The sequence below is a fragment of the Homo sapiens genome, chromosome 17, assembly GCF_000001405.40.
Source record: "Homo sapiens chromosome 17, GRCh38.p14 Primary Assembly".
Taxonomy (NCBI): domain Eukaryota; kingdom Metazoa; phylum Chordata; class Mammalia; order Primates; family Hominidae; genus Homo; species Homo sapiens.
The window spans coordinates 63,660,855-63,679,245 of NC_000017.11; the positions used below are offsets into that span (position 1 = coordinate 63,660,855).

The 18,391-nt window shown below is 45.9% G+C and overlaps 1 protein-coding gene across 9 annotated transcripts in view, besides 2 other annotated features; it reads left to right on the forward strand.

Moving 5' to 3' along the window:
• MAP3K3 (mitogen-activated protein kinase kinase kinase 3) overlaps positions 1-18,391 on the forward strand; it is a 73,889-nt gene that overhangs the window by 38,438 nt on the left and 17,060 nt on the right. For all 9 annotated transcript variants that reach the window (NM_203351.3, XM_005257378.3, NM_001363768.2 and 6 more), the window contains one exon: positions 6,086-6,206. In NM_203351.3, the coding sequence (NP_976226.1) occupies positions 6,086-6,206 (121 nt within the window). The remainder of the gene's footprint in view (positions 1-6,085; positions 6,207-18,391) is intronic.
• Positions 13,378-16,876: an enhancer, noted in NCBI's record as "VISTA enhancer hs1856". NCBI's record gives its function as "enhancer in: heart[6/7]" and the evidence as "EXISTENCE:transgenic organism evidence [ECO:0001131][PMID:17130149]".
• Positions 15,095-15,389: an enhancer, noted in NCBI's record as "tiled region #2081; K562 Activating DNase unmatched - State 5:Enh". NCBI's record gives its function as "activates a minimal TATA promoter and a strong SV40 promoter by Sharpr-MPRA in K562 cells {active_cell/tissue: K562}" and the evidence as "EXISTENCE:reporter gene assay evidence [ECO:0000049][PMID:27701403]".

The following is an 18,391-nucleotide window of genomic DNA, read 5'->3' on the forward strand; positions in this document are numbered from 1 at the left end:
CAAAGTGCTGGGATTACAGGCATGAGCCACTGCACCCCGCCTTGGATTCTTCTGATCCCTATATGGCAGCTTCTAATTTTCCTTCTGTCTTCATTCCTCACAAGGTACATAGTCTTACCTCTCCCACCTCACTTTGGCCAAGGCCATGTCTGAGAGGCCTCAATATTATTCTTGAGAACTCCTGAGTTTTGGTAATCACAGAACTATCTCTTTTTTTTTATTTTGAGGCACAGTTTCACTCTGTCACCCAGGTACGATCTCAGCTCATTGCAACCTCCGCCTCCCAGATTCAAGTGATTCTCCTGCCTCAGCCTCCTGAGTAGCTGGGATTACAGGTGCATGCCACCATGCCCGGCTAAGTTTTGTATTTTTGGTAGAGATGGGGTTTCGCACTGTTGGCGAGGCTAGTCTCAAACTCCTGACCTCAAGTGATCCGCACGCCTCAGCTTCTCAAAGTGCTGAGATTACAGGTGTGAGCCACCGGATCTGGCCAGTCTCTTTGTCTGAAAAGCCTCTCTCTAGCCTTGGTCTCTACCATCATTTTAAGATACTTCATTGTCTCCTTCTGTAGTTTTTGCTGTCCTAAGCCTCTGCTTTGGACCACCAACTTTTAGCTTATGCATCTAACTTTTACATTTGTCTTTCAGCTCTTGACCTTCTTAGGACTTTCTAGTCTCAGATCTTCCACTGTCATAAAGTAATATCAAGCTGAACCTTCTTTTGTAACTTGTATTTGTATACGATAAAAACTAAACACCTAGCCACTTTGTTTTGTTACCTCATATTCGCGTTGACAAAAATAAGCTTCTAATCTTCTCACCTAAATATTGTAAGTTAAAAATATCAAGGATAATTTAAAAGGTAATTCTTTTCAGTCCTTGTAAAATAGTGGGACAGGTGCAGGAAGATAAAACAAACCTGATTGGGCAGAATAGCTTCTTCTGGCCCCTGTTAAAAATAAACACTGGGCCGGGCGCGGTGGCTCACGCCTGTAATCCCAGCACTTTGGGAGGCCGAGGCAGGCGGATCACAAGGTCAGGAGATGGAGACCATCCTGGCTAACACGTGAAACCCCATCTCTACTAAAAAATACAAAAAATTAGCTGGGCGTGGTGGCAGGTGCCTGTAGTCCCAGCTACTCGGGAGGCTGAGGCAGGAGAATGACATGAACCCAGGAGGCGGAGCTTGCAGTGAGCCAGGATTGCGCCATTGCACTCCAGCCTGAGCCACAGAGCGAGACTCCATCTCATCTCAATAATAATAACATTGGGCTGGGCATGGTGGCTCACACCTGTAATCTCAGCACTTTGGGAGGCTGAGGCAGGCAGATTACTTGAGCCTAGGAGTTTGAGACCAGCCTGAGCAACATGGCGAAACCCTGTCTCTATTGAAAAAAAAAAAAAAAAAACGAAAATTAGCCAGGTGTGGTGCGTGCCTGTGGTCTTAGCTACTTGAGTGGCTGAGGTGGGAGAATCACCTGAGGCCGGGAGGTTGAGGCCGCAGTGAGCCAAGATTGCAACACTGCACTCCAGCCTGGGTGACAGAGTAAGACCCTGTCTCGAATAATAGTAATAATAACAACACCTAGCACATAAAAAGTGTTTTTATCTTTCACTTGATTTTTACAACTCTGAGGGTACCAGGGCAGGCGTCTATTATCTCCAGTCTACATCTGGGGAAACTGAGACTTAGGGTGACTGCTCAGGTGAGGCAGTGTGTAGTGACAGAGCTGGTCTGAAATCCAGATGTTCTGACTTGTAGTCTAGTGCCTGTCAGTCACCATCCAGAAGAGGGAATTTTTTTTTTTTTTTTTTTTTTTTTGGGATGGAGTCTCACTCTGTCACCCAGGTTGGAGTGCAGTGGCGCAATCTCAGCTCACCGCAGCCTCCATCTCCCGGGTTCAAGCGATTCTCCTGCCTCAGCCTCCCTAGTAGCTGGGATTACAGGCGTGCGCCACTACGCCCGGTTAATTTTTGTATTTTTAGTGGAGATGGGGTTGGGCGGGGGGCGGTCCTCACCATGTTGGCCGGGCTGGTCTCGAACTCTTAAACTTCAAATGATCTGACCGCCTTGGCCTCCCAAAGTGCTGGGATTACAGTTGTGAGCCACCACGCCCGGCCCCAGAAGAGGGTTCTTAGAATTATTGTAGTCCTTGGGAAACCTCACCCAGGTGCCTCCACGGTTGGAAATCATTAGAAGCCAAGCAGAAAGTATAATACTGTCCATGAGGAGAACTTGTGAGATGTTGTATCATTCTGTTCCCTGCAGCTTTGAAGACAACTGAGCTAGCAAATGTCCAGAAGACAAAATTTTCAAGGAGTTGGAGTCACTTTCATATATGAACAGTGTAAAAGTTTACAATGCTTGGCCAGGCGTGGTGGCTCATGCCTGTAATCCCAGCACTTTGGGAGGCTGAGGTAGGTGGATCCCTTGAGGTCAGGAATTTGATACCGGCCTGACCAACATGGTGAAACCCTGTCTCTACTGAAAATACAAAATTAGCTGAGCGTGGTGGCGCATGCCCGCAATCCCAGATACTCGGGAGGCTGAGGCAGGAGAATTGCTTGAACCTGGGAGGCGGAGGTTGCAGTGAGCCGAGATTGTGCCATTGCACTCCAGCCTGGGCGATGAGCGAAACTCCGTCTCAAAAAAAAAAAAAAAGTTTAGAACTCTTTAGTTAGGAAAGACAGCCTAAGCATATATAATCAGAGTCTTTAAAGCGTTTAAGAGCATGGATAATGAAGACACGGATTTATTCACCTAATCTCAATTTGGATGAACTCCTTGAATATTGAGCATTATCTTAGAACAAAAAAGAAATAATTTGTATAACAAGTGATAAACCAGCCTGGGTAACATAGCAAGACCCCCATCTCTACAAAAGTTTTAAAATCAGTCGTGGTGGCAAATGCCTGCAATTCCACCTACCTGGGAGGCTGAGGCGGGAGGATCACTTGAGCCAAGGAATTCCAGGCTGCGATGAGCTATGATTGCACCACTGCACTCATTGAGCAAGACCCTGTCTCAAAAACAAAAAAGATGATATATGTGGCATCTATTATTCTGAAATTGTGTAGCTTCAAAGCAGATTTTAAAAAGGGCTTTAGGCCGGGCGCGGTGGCTCACGCCTGTAATCCCAGCACTTTGGGAGGCCGAGGCGGGCGGATCACGAGGTCAGGAGATCGAGACCATCCTGGCTAACACGGTGAAACCCCATCTCTACTAAAAATACAAAAAAAAAAAATAGCCGGGCGTGGTAGCGGGCGCCTGTAGTCCCAGCTACTTGGGAGGCTGAGGCAGGAGAATGGCGTGAACCCGGGAGGCGGAGCTTGCAGTGAGCCGAGATCGCGCCACTGCACTCCAGCCTGGGCGACAGAGCGAGACTCCGTCTCAAAAAAAAAAAAAAAAAAAAAAAAGGGCTTTAATAAATTCATGGATGGTAAAGCTGTAAATTTAATTAAATCACCTCAGATGCTTTCACAGCTATCATAACTATCATGGTCTTCCATGCAAATATCTCTTGGTACCACCATTAAAACAGAGGACTGGACAGGATGCTCTTGGTGATCCAGTGTGCCATTTCTTACCTTACATTCCCATGTAACAAACTAAAGCAACCCCTCTCCCTGCTTCACCTCTTCCCTGCATCGTTGAATCCACTTGCCAGATTTTTTATTGAGATAATTTGTGGGTGGACTTTTGTAACTTATTTTTCTACTGATCTCCTATCTTCCAGTCACTGAAATCTTGATGCACATGGTTTCCTGGTAATTTTTCATATTGTTTGTGTTAGCCACAGCTAACTTCTACCCAGAGTCCTTTAGTGAGGTGTTCATGGAATGATCAAACACCATCTTCTATTTGTTGTCTTTAGAATGTTCTGCTAGCTACACAGTTCATACCTATGGGCTCTCCTGTCACTCTGCGACAGTCCCCTTATATTCTCAGGCATAGTCCCACCTTCCTCCTTCCTCTTTTTCCCACTTCTGAGTCTTATTCAAGGTGTCCTAAACCCTTGAAGCAACCTCATTTTTATTTACCATACCATTCCCTTTTGCCCCCTTAAATTGAGGTTTTCAAAATTTGGCTGAATATTACAAAATGTCAGTGCTTGGACTCTGTGTCCAGAGGTTCTGTTGATCTGAGGTGTCAAAATCTCCACAGGCAGCTGGGCATGGTCGCTCACCCCTGTAATCCCAGCACTTTGGAAGGCCAAGGCAGGCAGATCACCTGAGGTCAGGAGTTCAAGACCAGCCTGACCAACATGGAGAAACCCCATCTCTACTAAAAATGCAAAAAATTAGCTGGGCGTGGTGGCACATGCCTGTAATCCCAGCTACTCGGGAGGCCGACCAGGCTGGAGTACAGTGGTGCGATCTCGGCTCACTGCAAGCTCCGCCTCCCAGGTTCATGCCCTTCTTCTGCCTCAGCCTCCTGAGTAGCTGGGACTACAGGTGCCTGCCACCACGCCCAGCTAATTTTTTGTATTTTTATTAGAGACGGGGTTCCACTGTGCTAGCCAGGATGGTCTTGATCTCCTGACCTCATGATCCGCCCGCCTCAGCCTCCCAAAGTGCTGGGATTATAGGCATGAGCCACTCCCGGCCTAGCTTTTAGATTTTTTAATTGAGGGTTTAGATAGTATGTCCTTTGGTACACATTTCAAATTCATGTTGCCATGATTTTTTGAATTCCCACTATGTGTAAGGCCCTGCATTCAGGCAGGTGGCAGGGTGCTCATCATGCACCTCCTCTTTGTGAGTGCAAGACTATGACCCTCCCTTGCCCTTCACTTGCCTGCCTCCCCAGTATGTGGCTTTGACTGTTGTTTCCTTTTTGACCCTTAGCAGAGAGCTATTGCACATCGGAGGCTTCAGCAAGAACATTCACTTCCCCCTTGGTTCTGACTTCCCGTTAGAGCAAGACAGTTTTTCAAGACAACCTGCATGTGATAAAGTCTGGCATGGGGACTACAGGAGGTTGCTTGGCAGCTGAACTCTCCCCTGAGAGCAGGAAACCTTTTTCCTGGAGGACAGGATATAGAGTTTGTTTAGATCGGACTTTTTTTGTTAGGGGGAGGTAGAGGAGATAGAGGAGCAAGTAGAAACTTTGAACCAACTTGTTTGTAAATCCTGAGCTCTCACCCCGACTCTCACCAGTGCCCTGCTTATTTGTAATAGCATCCTGACATCACTTGATTACCTCCAGGGTTTAGTTTTAAGCTTTCTCAGTGCAAAGGCCCCCCTTTGTTGCTTAGTTTTCTCTGGCGGCTGGACTGGGCCCAGTGGAAAGAGTGGGTGGGTGCTGGGAGGATTGCTGACCCTCCTCTCAGGCCCTTGACCTCTGTCTGGCACAATGGTACTTATGATAGCTTTTCCCAATTGAACATGATCCTGAGATGATTTGTGTGTAAACCCTGGAATCTTCTTAATTTTCAGGGAGTGATTATTGTTGGGAAAAAGAAGCAAATTGAGCTACTTTTAAACATACATATATAAGCTGGGCATGGTAGCATGTACCTATAGTCTCAGCTAACCCGGAGGCTGAGGTGGGAGGATCCCTTGAGCCCAGGAGTTTGAGTCCAGCCTGGGCAACATAGCAAGACTCTGTATCAATCAATCAGTCAATAAGATAAATACATATATAGCAACCAGAATTTTGTTGGGGAGGGAAGTTGCCATCATTCACTCTCCATCCTGACTTCCTCCTCTGCAGAAATAATTTTCTGCTACTCTTCCTAAACTCTCTGGAGAATTTTATGAGAGGGTATTTACAGCTCTCTTTTCTGTTTTGCAGATTATTACAGGAATGCCTGTTATTCCTCCATGTCTGGATCATCACCTGTTAAACTGGGGCACTAGGTCTCAGCGCTCATACATCATTGAAGCTATAAAACTACATTGAGCGAATAGTGGTTTGCTGAGACAAATAGAAGAGTGAGATTTGGGGGAAAGCTGGGTAGCTCATGTATTAAAAGCATGAAGGTGGCTGAGCCTGCAGGGAGTCCTTAGGAAAAGGGTGAGAAGACCTTGATAGGCCTGACTGTGTAAAGATGTAGCTTGGCCTTTTTCCTCTTCTTTTACAGAACAGTTCCTCTCCCCACTCTGGGGTGTCCAGACAGGTGCGGATCAAGGCTTCCCAGTCCGCAGGGGATATAAATACTATCTACCAGCCCCCCGAGCCCAGAAGCAGGCACCTCTCTGTCAGTGAGTATTTCAACCCTTTTTTCTCCCCCTCTATTTTATCTGCCCACATTTTAAAAAAGCAACAAGTATTTGTTAATTAAATAATCATCAAATATTTATTAACTATTACTCTGTGTAGAGTAATCCTTTATGCCTTTATTTTATTTAGAGAGGAAGGGCAAAGAAATAACTGGGATGGTATCCTGACTCTCAAGGAACTTAAAATATAATGATATAGTAGTGTGATTAAATTCCTTTTAAACATCCCTGAAAAAGTGATTGCCTCAGACATCTGCTTGAAGACTTCCAGCTGTGTTTACACTCACTTTTGACCATTCTTGTGAAGAATAGAGACTTGTAAAGTTAGGAATCGGGTCTAAGTTTGAATTTTGACCTTAAACCTCTTGCTTATGATTCCTGAGAAGTCTTTATACTTCAGGGAAGATAGTGACCAATGAAACTTTTGAGAGAGTCAAGCTAAGTTGTCTGGAAGGAAAGGAGACTATTGACATAGTACAGTCATTTCTCTGTGTTTGTAGGGGATTGGTTCCAGGACCCCTGTGGATGCCAAGGTCTGTGGATGCTCAAGTCCCTGAAATAAAATAGTGTAGTATTTGCATATAACCTACCCACATCCTCCTTCATAGTTTAAATCATCTCCGGGTTATTTATAATATGATGTAAATACTATGTAAATAGTTCTTATGCTATATTTTTATTTGTATTTTTTTGCTATTGTTATTTTTTATAATTTTCCATATATTCTCAATCTGTGGTTGGTTGAATCCACAGATGCAGAACCTGGAGATATGGAGGGCCAACTATATATACAACCCTCTGCTAACTAGTCAGAAAGCTCTGTGGCTGCTACCAGTCCTTCCCAGGACAGGAATCTAAATCAGGCCTGTGCATTATTACTTGTTAACCCAGGATTCCTGTGGATTCCACTTTTGGGAGTCTGGGGAGAAAGCCCCCATTTCTTGAATTGTGGAACTTGTATCAAAAGGGAAATCTGGTCTTATCAAACATCGTGTTGAGCCTGCTGCCTTAATGTTGTGGAGACCCCTGCTGCTGCTAGAAAGCCAGCTTTGCCCTTATCCATATAGGTAGAATTGCTTCAAATTGAAGTGTCCTCTGAAGATCCTGAGCTGAGCTTGAGAGATCTAAGCACTGATCCTGTTGCTGAGTTTGTCTGTTTGCAATATGCCTCCTGAGGGAGTTACAGGAAAAATATGTTTCTGAGGTACTGACTTTGCCTTACTGAGTAACTTCTGGAATCCAGGCAAGTACTGGTAGTAAGTATTGCCAGGCTGAAAGTCTGTATATGAATTTCAGATTTCTGTAGATAATTGGGGAATGTGTTGGTTGAGGATGGAGAGCTAGTACCCTAGCAAGGAGAGCCTAGCCACAGCGTCTCTGGCCCTGGAATCTGTGTGCCTCAGAGCCTGGGAAGCTCTGCCAGTTTGGCCTCTTTTCCGTAGTCCTTGTAGAGATTGAGGGGATGGAGGTGGGCAGCATGGTCCCTTGTAATCAGTAAGGATTGATGGGGCAGTAACTGGGTCTCTTGCCCCCAAGCAAGAGCCTATGATATGTGCATGGAGGCAGGGGCTAAATACTTAGCCACTGGACCCTTTCTCCATGTTACCGGGAGCTATATATGGAAATGATTTTCCTGGCTGAGAATGCTGAGGAGTGAGATTTCTGTGAAGTAGTTCCTGTTTATCTGGAAAATGGGCAACACGGCCTCTTAGCATACCTAGATCCTGGCTTCCTTCATTCAGCAAAGCATTAAGTACCAGCTGTTGGGCTGAGATGAATGCTGCAGTGAAGCATTTGAAAGAGCAAGGGTGGCTGGAGCAGATTCCGCCTGGGAGAGAGGGGCTTTCACAGAAAAGGTAACATCAGAGCTGACACTCCAAGGAAGATTTACTGAGCATCAAGTAGAGAGAGATATCTCAGGCATAGTAAGGAGCACCTGCCAGGCATGATCACAAAAGAACTTGGTGGGTTGAAGAACCCCAGGGGCTTTGCACTGTGTGTAGGGTAAGGTAGATGTGGCAAGAGAATGGGCTGAGCCTGTGAGCGTTTCCATAGAGCCAAGAAATGGGAGAGATGATTTCTAACTGGAATGATCTGGAAAATGCATTCTGAGGGGAGCTGTTCCAGCTGGACCTTGAAAGATTGTGGAGGATTTCCACAGGGGACAAGGGGAGAGAGGAGAGGGCTTTTAGACTATGTCTGTGGAGAGCTCGCTATTCTTCAGGTCCAGGCTGGCTGATACATTTGGAGGAGGAATAGAGAGGCCAAGAAAGGATGCCTGGGTGTTTTCTAAGGGACTCTCAGCTGCACTCAGACTCTTTTGGTAGGCAGTGGAAGCCACTGAAAATGTTTGCCCCTTATACCCATCACCATTATAATATTTATTATGTTGTCTTTTTTTTTTTTTCTCGAGACAGAGTCTCACTGTCACCCAGGCTGGAATGCATTGATGCCATCTCGGCTCACTGCAACCCCTGCTTCATGCGCTCAAGCAATTCTTCTGCCTCAGCCTGTTACAGGTGCACACCACCACTCCCTGCTAATTTTTGTGTTTTTAGTAGAGACGGGATTTCGCCATGTTGGCCAGGCTGGTATGACTCCTGACCTCAGATGACCACCTGCCTCGGCCTCCCAAAGTGTTGGGATTACAGGCGTGAGCCACCACGCCTCAACCTATCATGTTGTCTTATCTTTCTTCCATCATACTACGTTTTTGTTCATTCATTCAAAAGATAATTACTGGCTGGGCATGGTGGCTTATGCCTATAATCCCAGCACTTTAGGAGGCCGAGTTGGGTGGATTGCTTGAGCCTCAGGAGTTTGAGACTAGCCTGGGCAACATGGCAAAACCCCGTCTCTACAAAAAATACAAAAATTAGCCAAGTGTGGTGGTGCAAGCTTGTAGTCCCAGGTACTTGGGAAGCTGAGGTGGGAGGATCACTTGAGCCTGGGAGGCAGAGGTTTCAGTGAGCCATGAATGTGCCATGGTACTCCAGCCTGGGCAACAGATCAAGACCCTGTCTCAAAAAAAAAAAAAGTAATTACCAAAGTATCTACTATGTGCCAGAAATATGGGAAGCAAAAAAGACACAGGCCCTGTCCCTGTGGCCTTTACAATCCATGGAAAGACAGACATTTACTTCTTATGATGTGATTAATGTATAATTACAAACTGTGACTGAAAGGTGTGTGGTGCTGCAGGTGGGCTATAACTAAGAAATGGGCTGGGCATGGTGGCTCACGCCTGTAACCCCAGCACTTGGTGAGGCCGAGGTGAGTGGATTGCTTGAGGCCAGGAGTTTGAGACCAGCCTGACCAACACAGTAAAACCCCGTCACTAATAAAAATGCAAAAATTAGCTGGGCATGATGGTGAGTGCCTCTAGTCCCAGCTACTCAGGGGGCTGAGGCAGGAGGATCACTTGAACCTGAGAGATCGAGGCTGCAGTGAGTGGAGATTGCACCACTGTACTCCAGCCTGGGTGACAGAGTGAGTGAGACTCTGTCTCAAAAAAAAAAAAAAAAAAAAAAGAAAGAAAGAAAGAAATGGTGGGCTATAACTAAGGGATGGGACCTGATCCTGATCTTGGGGCCAGGAAAGCCTTAGGCATGAATGGGATTTGGGAATTAGGCAAAAGGGATGCAAGGAAGAGGGTTCCAGGCAGGGGATGTTACAAGAGCAGAGACTTGATGGCAAGAGGAAGTGTGGTATGTCAGAAATGGAAAGAAGTCCAGATAGCTGGAGAGCTGGGAGCAAGGGGAAGGGGAGGGCAGGATGAAGCTGGGGAGGGAGGCAGAGCCTTGTGGACCCTGGTTAAGATTCTGATCATTGCATGGAAAGTAGTGAAAAGCTACTTTAGAGTTTTTAAGTGAAGAGGAGTGGGTGATGTTACATATTCGTATTTGTATTTTGAAAAGATTGATCTGGCTACAGTGTGGATAACAGATTGGAGGGGGCAAGAATGCATGCAAGGGAACTGCATTAGGCTAATGCAGTGGTCCAGGTAAAGAAAACTGGGCTTGGAGTAGGCTGATGAAGTGGAGAGAGGAAGGAGCAGGTGAACTTGTGACATTTAGAGGTAAAACTGACAGAACATGGCGTTTTGGTGGTTCTCAAAGTGTGTTCTGGGGATCCTGGGGAGTCCCTTGGATCCTTTGACCCTGTGAGTTCAAAATTATTTTCTTTTTTTTTTTTTTGTGACGGAGTCTTGCTCTGTCACCAGGCCGAAGTGCAGTGGTGTGATCTCGGCTCACTGCAACCTCCGCCTCCCGGGTTCAAACGATTCTCTTGCCTCAGCCTCCCAAGTAGCTGGGACTACAGGCATGCGCCACCACACCCAGCTAAATTTTGTATTTTTAGTAGAGACGGGGTTTCACCACGTTGGCCAGGATGGTCTCGATCTCTTGACCTTGTGATCCACCTGCCTCAGCCTCCCAAAGTGCTGGGATTACAGGAGTGAGCCACCACGCCTGGCCCTCAAAATTATTTTCATAATCATGCTAAGACATGACACTCAATTCTCTCACAAGGGTACAATGGAGGTTTCCAGAGGTCAGGTGCCTGAGGTGATGTCATCACCGTAATGGCTTAATGGCATGTGTGCTTGTATATGATTGTATTCTTAAAATTTCTTTTTTCCTCCACTGGTTTCTCCTGAGAAAATGTTTTTAAAATTTCTGAGTTTTAATTGCAAATACAGTAAATATCAGTTGATATATCCTACATAAATGAAAGCTAAGTGGCCTCAGTTTTAAGGTACAGAGGGGTTCTAAGACCAAAAGGCTTAAGAATTACTATAGTATTGGATTGAATTTGCAGGTGTTTTCAGGAGGCTAAGGTGGGAGGATGGCTTGATTCCAGGAGTTTGAGCTTAGCCTAGACAACATAATGAGACCCAATATCATTTAAAAAAAAAAAAATGAGGCCAGGTTTGGTGGCTCACATCTGTAATCCCATCACTTTGGGAGGCCGAGATGGGTGGATCACCTGAGATTAGGAGTTTGAAACCAACCTGACCAACATGGTGAAACCCCGTCTCTATGAAAAATACAAAAATTAGTTGGGTGTGGTGGCATGCGCCTGTAATCCCATCTACTAGGGAGGCTGAGGCAGGAGAATTGTTTGAACCCGGGAGGCGGAGGTTGCAGTGAGCCGAGATGGTGCCATTGCACTCCAGCCTGGGCAACAAGAGCAAAACTCCATCTCAAAAAAAAAAAAAAAAAAGGAAGGAAGAAAAAATAATTTGCAGATATTGAGAGAGAGGGAGGTAAATTACTGCTTTGTGGAGATGAATAAATGGCATCGCCTTTCACTAAGACAGGAATACTGGAAGAGAGCCTGGTTCCAGGTGCTGGGAAGGGGCAGACTTAATGTTTTAGACATGTTGGTATTGAAGTGCCTCTGATACAGCCAACAGGAGATATCAGAGAGGCAGTTAGATATATAGGTCTCTAGCTCAGAGGGGAGAAAATCAGGGCTAGTGAAAAAATATTGGAAATTGTTATGTTGAAACCATGCACCCAGGCGAGAGTGCCTAAGCAGAGACTATAGAATGAGAAGAAAAGAGGGTCCATGATTGAGCCTTAGGAACCCAACACTTAGTGGCCAGTTAGAAGAGGATGAGCCTGTGAAGGACACAGAAAAGGAGTAACCAGAGAAGTAGGAAAGGAAATTAGGAGTGTGGGGAGAAGGCATTACACAGAACCAGCCAGGTTGGTAAGGACAGACCAAGGGTAAGAGACAGAAACCTGTTATTTTCATTCACAGATGTTTGAGTGCTTGCTGTGTGCTGGTACAGACAAGACTTTCTGGAAGGGAAACAGAGACAGAAGTCAAGGTATAGCATGAGAGACTTGGAAAAGTCCTAGCAGTAGAAATGGGGTCCAAGAAGTCCTTGGTTAGTAAGCCTTAGCAATTCAGCCTTCCACTGGGTTCCTCTGTTGCCTCCTTGCCATCATCGTTTACATACATGTGAATATTTAGTGAGTCTGCAGCAAGCAGGCTACTCAGTTCACACTGGAACATTTGCATTGATGGGGAAGCGCAGGGTAGCCCAATCAAATTCCAGACATGTATATTTGAAATTCTTCTTTATTTTGGATTGAAAATCAGCTTTCTCTCACTTTACCCACTGATTCTAGTGCTGCTCCCTTGAGCAACAGATAAACACAGATAAAATCTTTCATATGACAGTTTTTCAAACATGTGAAGCCAGGTATCATGTTTACCCTTTGTTGTTTCCATCATAATATGCATACCTTGAATTCCAGGTTTTTTTCAGGCCATTTAGTCTGTTAAACTAGTTCATGCTAAACAAAACAGAAACAAACAAAAAAAACCCTACTAAGTAATGAGTTAATCCAAAGGAATTAATCTCTCTGTGGGGAGATCACTAGGCAGATAGGTGGAATTTCCTTACCTGAAGACATCCTCTCTCATACCTTGGCCTACGGAAATTCTACCTACCTTTGAAGCTCAAGCACTATTTTTCCATGATACATTGGGTGGTGCCCTTAAGCCATGTAACCAAGCCTCAACTAAAGGACTTGTCGGCGGGGTGCAGTGGCTCATGCCTATAATCTTAACACTTTGGGAGGCCAAGGCGGGCAAATCACCTGAGGATGGGAGTTCAAGACCAGCCTGTCCAACATGGTGAAACCCTGTCTGTACTAAAAATACAAAAATTAGCCAGGTATGATGGCAGGTGCCTGTAATTCGAGCTACTCGGCTGCTGAGGCAGGAGAATTGCTTGAACCTGGGAAGCAGAGGTTGCATTGAGCCAAGATCGTGTCACTGCACTCTAGCCTGGACAGACTCTTGGTCTGTCTCAAAAAAATAAAAAATAAATAAAAATTATCCAGGTGTGGTCGTGCGCATCTGTAATCCCAGCTACTTGGGAGGCTGAGGTGGGACAATCACTTGAACCCGGGAGGCGGAGGTTGCAGTGAGCTGAGATCGTGCCACTGCGCTCCAGCTTAGGCAACAGAGTGAGACTCTGTCTCAAAAAAAAAAAAAAAGGACTTGTCCCTGCTACATTCTGACTCCTGTATGGTCTAAGTTCATCTTGTTAAGTGCCTTTGCCTCAGTTCTCACTCTGTCTTTCTCCTTATCTTGCCACTTTGTCCCATAGTGAGGCAAGCCATACTCCAACGCCTGAGTGGAGGCAATCAGGTTTTTCTGGAGTTTGGTAGTGAAATGGTGGACCTGCCAGTTGCAGTGGTGCGTACCTGTAATCCCAGCACTTTGGGAGGCCAAGGTGGGTGGATTGCTTGAGCCCAGGAGTTCGAAACCAGCCCAGGCAACATGGCAAAACCCCATCTCTCTGTCACCCAGGCTGGAGTGCAGTGGTGCCATCATGGCTCACTGCAGCCTCAACCACCGATCCTCGCCTCAGCCTCCCAAATAGCTGGGACCACAGGTGCTTGCCACCATACCTGGCTAATTTGTTTTTTGTAGAGATGAGTTCTCACTATGTTGCCCAGCCTGGTCTTGAATTCCTGGTCTCAAGCAATCCTTCTACACCTCAGCTTCCCAAAGTGCTGAGATTATAGGTATGAGCCACCATGCCCAGCCCAGGATGTTCTTAGGCTAGAGATATGAGGAAGTGTATGAAGGGAGGGATAAAGACAGCTGAAAAGGAGGGGTTAAAGGTGATGAAGAGGAGACCATGGGGGAGCTGACTCCTGCTGGAGATGAATCGAGTCCAGGTAGAGGGTTTATAATACTTTTGCAAGGAAGAGAGGAGCCCTCTCTGCCTCTGAGAGACATGGAGGGAAAATTCAGGCAGAGGACAAGAAAGAATGTTGAAAGGATGAGGGTAGATTATAGCGACAACTGGGCAGTAAACAGAGAGCAGTGCTCAGGACCAGCTTCCAGTCCTAGTACCGATTTGAAAGGGTAGAAGCCAGGACTGTAGAGGTAGTGACCATACACTTGGAAACAAAATGGTTAGCTTCTTTCATCTTCAAAGGTTTTTTTTCCCTCCTTGCTATAAGTTCTATGATGCTACATGAGATCAGAAACTTTGATGGTGGTAGCAGCTCCAAAATAAAATGGGAATTTTGAAAGTTGAAACATAGAAGATGTTCTTAGGGTCTTATGGAAATTCTACCCACTACTGTGTTCTACAGAGTGTGGTCCACTGTGAGCATATTGGTAAATATTAGTTAAGATTTTCTATTGAGAAAGAAAAAAAGTTTGATTTCTCTCCCCATCTCATCTGTCCCTGAAGAGAGAAAAGAGTTTAGGAAATAGTTAGTGGCCAAAAAAGCTATCTCTTTATACTTGCAGTGACCTGCACATTAACACTGACCCAAAGCCCTAGAACTCCCTGCGGAGACAACTTCCTGACTGCATCAGCTTCCTGATTAGGGTTCTGCTATGAGAAGGGCTAGAATCTGAGAGCCTGTCGTTCAGCTTTAAGTCAGAGTACAAAGCAAAAGAACCTACCATATCCGAGGGTGAGAGTGTATCTTTGACTCTGCTTCTTTGGGTTAAGGAGGCTGGTAGAGAGCTAGCACGCACTGGGTGGAATGAGGATAGCTGGCAGCTTAAACCCCGCTTTTCTCCTTCTGTGTAAAATACCTTCATGGGAAACTGTGGGCCTCTCTCTGAACAGTGGAACTGCTACTGTGCTCCTTTGCTTCAGCTGGTGGCACAGGTGGCGCAGTGAGGCTAGAGCAAGTTCAGGCTGGAATACCAGGGAAAGGTGTCCCAAGAAAGCCTGTGACCCCTGCCTATGCAGCCTTCTGAGACCTACGGAATGAGCTGTTTTGCATAGCTCTGTGCTTTGGGCTGTCTGGCTCATTGCTATCACTGCTGGTAAATACGTAGTTTTATGGTCCAGTATCCTATCCTGTTTAGCTCCCTGTCTCACTTGCTCTCAACTGTTGTGTATCTCATTGGCTCCCAATTTCTGAAATGAAGATTAAAAACAAAACTGAAAATGCCCTGGAGCAGTTCTGCCAACTCCTGGTTTTTCCATTCGGTTCCTCTGATAGCCACTGGTTTGGGGAGACTTCCTTTTCCTGCTCCAGCCTGTGGGCCTGTGCACAATAGCCGCTGGCACATAGCCCATCAGATAACAAGGCTGGCTCTCTGCAGGCACAGTGTGGATTGGAAAAAGTGAAAGTTTCTGGCTGGAAATAAAAGCTCAGAAAACCTTTGCTATTTTTCCCCCCAGACCCTCCTGGGTCTGTAGTGCTGGCCTCCTGTGAGCTAGTCCCATCCCACCTGTAAAACCAGGGGAGAGTTCAGTGCAGCTGATGAAGGAGGGGACAGGTGTCAGGGGGACCATGGATATTTTATCCCAGGGAAGTCTCACCCCAGACACTCCATGTAACAGATTGAGGGCATTTCATCCTGCCTAGGCATAGTTTGGACCAGTGTCTGAGGTTTCATAAATAAGAGTTTTTCTTTCTCTCCAATCAGTCCCTTACAAGAGACATTTTTATTTGTTCTAGGTAAAATGTATAATACAGCTCCAGAGTGTGTTGGTCAGAGTTCAGTTGTGCAGAGGAGAACCCACTGTAGCTAGTTTCAGGAAGAAGAGGTTCCATAAACCAGAGGTGCACATTGTGGATTATGGAATCAATGAGGGAAGAAAGAGAAGCAGCCTCTAGGTTAAGACACACCACAGAGCGTCCTCCCTCTTCTGTAATCAGGAAGCCACCGGTCCAGAAGTCCAGTGCCCCTCAGGTCTGGTCCACACCTGTCAACATCGGCAAAGCTGGAGACCAGGTGTGGGGCCTCTGCTAACACTGTGGCAGAAAAACCAAAGGCTTCTGTGACTGCTCAGGAACAGCAGGAAGCCTGTTAATCTCATAGAAGTGCATGTGATTAGCTGAATCTAAAGAAAGTCTTAGAAATACAGCTTTTAGCCAGTTAGCTTCTCAAGTACAGGAAGGCACAGTAGAAGGGTGGAATCCATCTTACGCCTACCCCATATATCTGCCACATAGAGTGAAGGGTACAAATGGGATTCTACGGAGTTCCTACTGTGAGATGGGGTTATGCGGATATGTACCTGTGCCAGCACATTTATAACTTCCGAAAGAAATTATGAGGTAGATAGTTCTCCCCATTTTTGCAGTTGAGGAAATTGAGGTGAGAGCTTAGATCATTTAGCTAATGAGTGGCAAAGCCTGATCTGAACCCACGTATATCTAATTTCAAAGCTTAGTCTTTTCTCCGTGCACCTCACTTACCTCCTTAGAGTTGCTTCTGCTGCTGACAAATGTTGCTGACATGTGGATTGAATTGCCATAGAACTTGTGGACTACCAAGATGTCATCCAAAGCTAAAAGTAGGAAGCAGGCAGTAGGCTAATTTTTATAAGCAAAGGGTTAAATAGTGCTCTCTCTGTGTTTTGTGACATGATAAGACTTAGGAAAACCATCCTTTTTTTACAGTTGCACTGGAATTTTGTGTTACAGTAGCAAGGGAAACAGCCAGGTACATGGGTCTGTGAGGTCTGGGTCACTGGAAAGTGGAGTAGTTCCCTTGGTCCAGATTTCCCCTAAACCTCCATCTTGTCTTTGCCTACAAACCCTCTGTTGGCCAAGCGGCATTTTGTATTCCTGGCCTCTGACTCCCAAATGACCATGGAGAAAACAACTCTGAATTTGAGCTGCATGAAACATGCCACTGTGGATGTGGCTCACACCTGTAATCCCTGCACTTTGGGAGGCTGAAGCAGGAGGATCCCTTGAGCCCAAGGAGTTTGGGGCTACAGTGAGCTATGAACACGCCACTGCACTCCAAAGAAAGAAAGATACATGGCACTGTGCTTCCCCTGTGCTGCCAGGAAGTCCCCACGTTAGCCTCCCTCCCACACCTGGCAGGCTGTCATATTTCCTTGTGGATGGGATCTCCATCCTCCATAGGGATTACTCATGGGGGACAGATGGCCTGGCCAGTTCAAGGAGAAGTTATGTCTTGTGCCACTGTGTTGAGCAGCATGCCTGCCCTTTTTGGAAATAAATTATGGTCCCCAAATTGCCTTGGCTGAACTGTATGAGAGTCACAAAGCCTGTTTTCTCGCTTCGGCCCCACCATAAAGTCACTTTATGGCTTTGGGGCTTGGGTTTCCCTCTGCGCAATGTGGATGATGATAATGCACCACCACTGCAGGGGTGTAGTAAGGGTTAAATGAGAGGTGACAATATTTTTTTAAGAAAAAAAAATTGCCTTGACTGATTTTATTGCTCTGTTAGTTCATGGTACAATATCCCTAAATTTACACTCAGAGTAACTTTAGTTTCTGTTAGGACTTAGAAAATAGGACAAATTCTCTTCCATGGGCTGTTTGAGACCATTGCAAAGGCATGGCTCAGATACCACTTTATCTCAGAATTGGTGGCCTCTACCCTGTGAGTGAGATGTTGAGACAGGAAATCCAGCAAAATTCTATGCCTGTTTTCAGAGCAATTTTGTTTCTGGCCTTTGCTCTGGAGTCAGGTGGGGAGGCCAGATTACTGAGGACCCCATGTTAGCTTTCCTGCCAGAGAGACATCCTTGGAGGGAGGCTGGGGTGATGTGTCCAAGAAGAGATTGGAAGTATTCTCCAATACCAGTTCAGTGGTGAATTCTCAAAATGTATTCAGCACAACCACATGAACCATATGTTCTGAACAACTGACTTAATATAGAAGAATTAAAGAGTCAGTTTCAACTGGGTGCAGTGGCTGACGCCTGTAATCCCAGCACTTTGGGAGGCTGAGACAGGCAGATCACCTGAAGACAAGAGTTCAAGACCAGCCTGGCCAACATGGTGAAACCCTGTCTCTACTAAAAATATAAGAATTAGCTGGGTATGGTGACGGCCACCTGTAATCCCAGCTATTCAGGAGGCTGAGGCAGAAAATTGCTTGAACCCAGGAGGCGGAGGTTGCCTTGAGCCAAGATTGTACCACTGCACTCCAGCCTGGGCAACAGAGCAAGACTCCGTCTCAAAAAAAAGAGTCAGTGTCAGTTTCTTAAAGGTCATTGAAAAACAATAGTTTAAGCTTCTTAGAAAATGTCTTTCAAAAAGCAACCCTCTGGCCAGGCATGGGGGCCCATGCCTTTAATCCCAGCACTTTGGGAGGCCAAGGCTTGAGACCAGCCTAGGCAACATAGCGAGACCCTGTTCCTAAAAGTGCACACACACACACAGAGCAAGCCTCCCC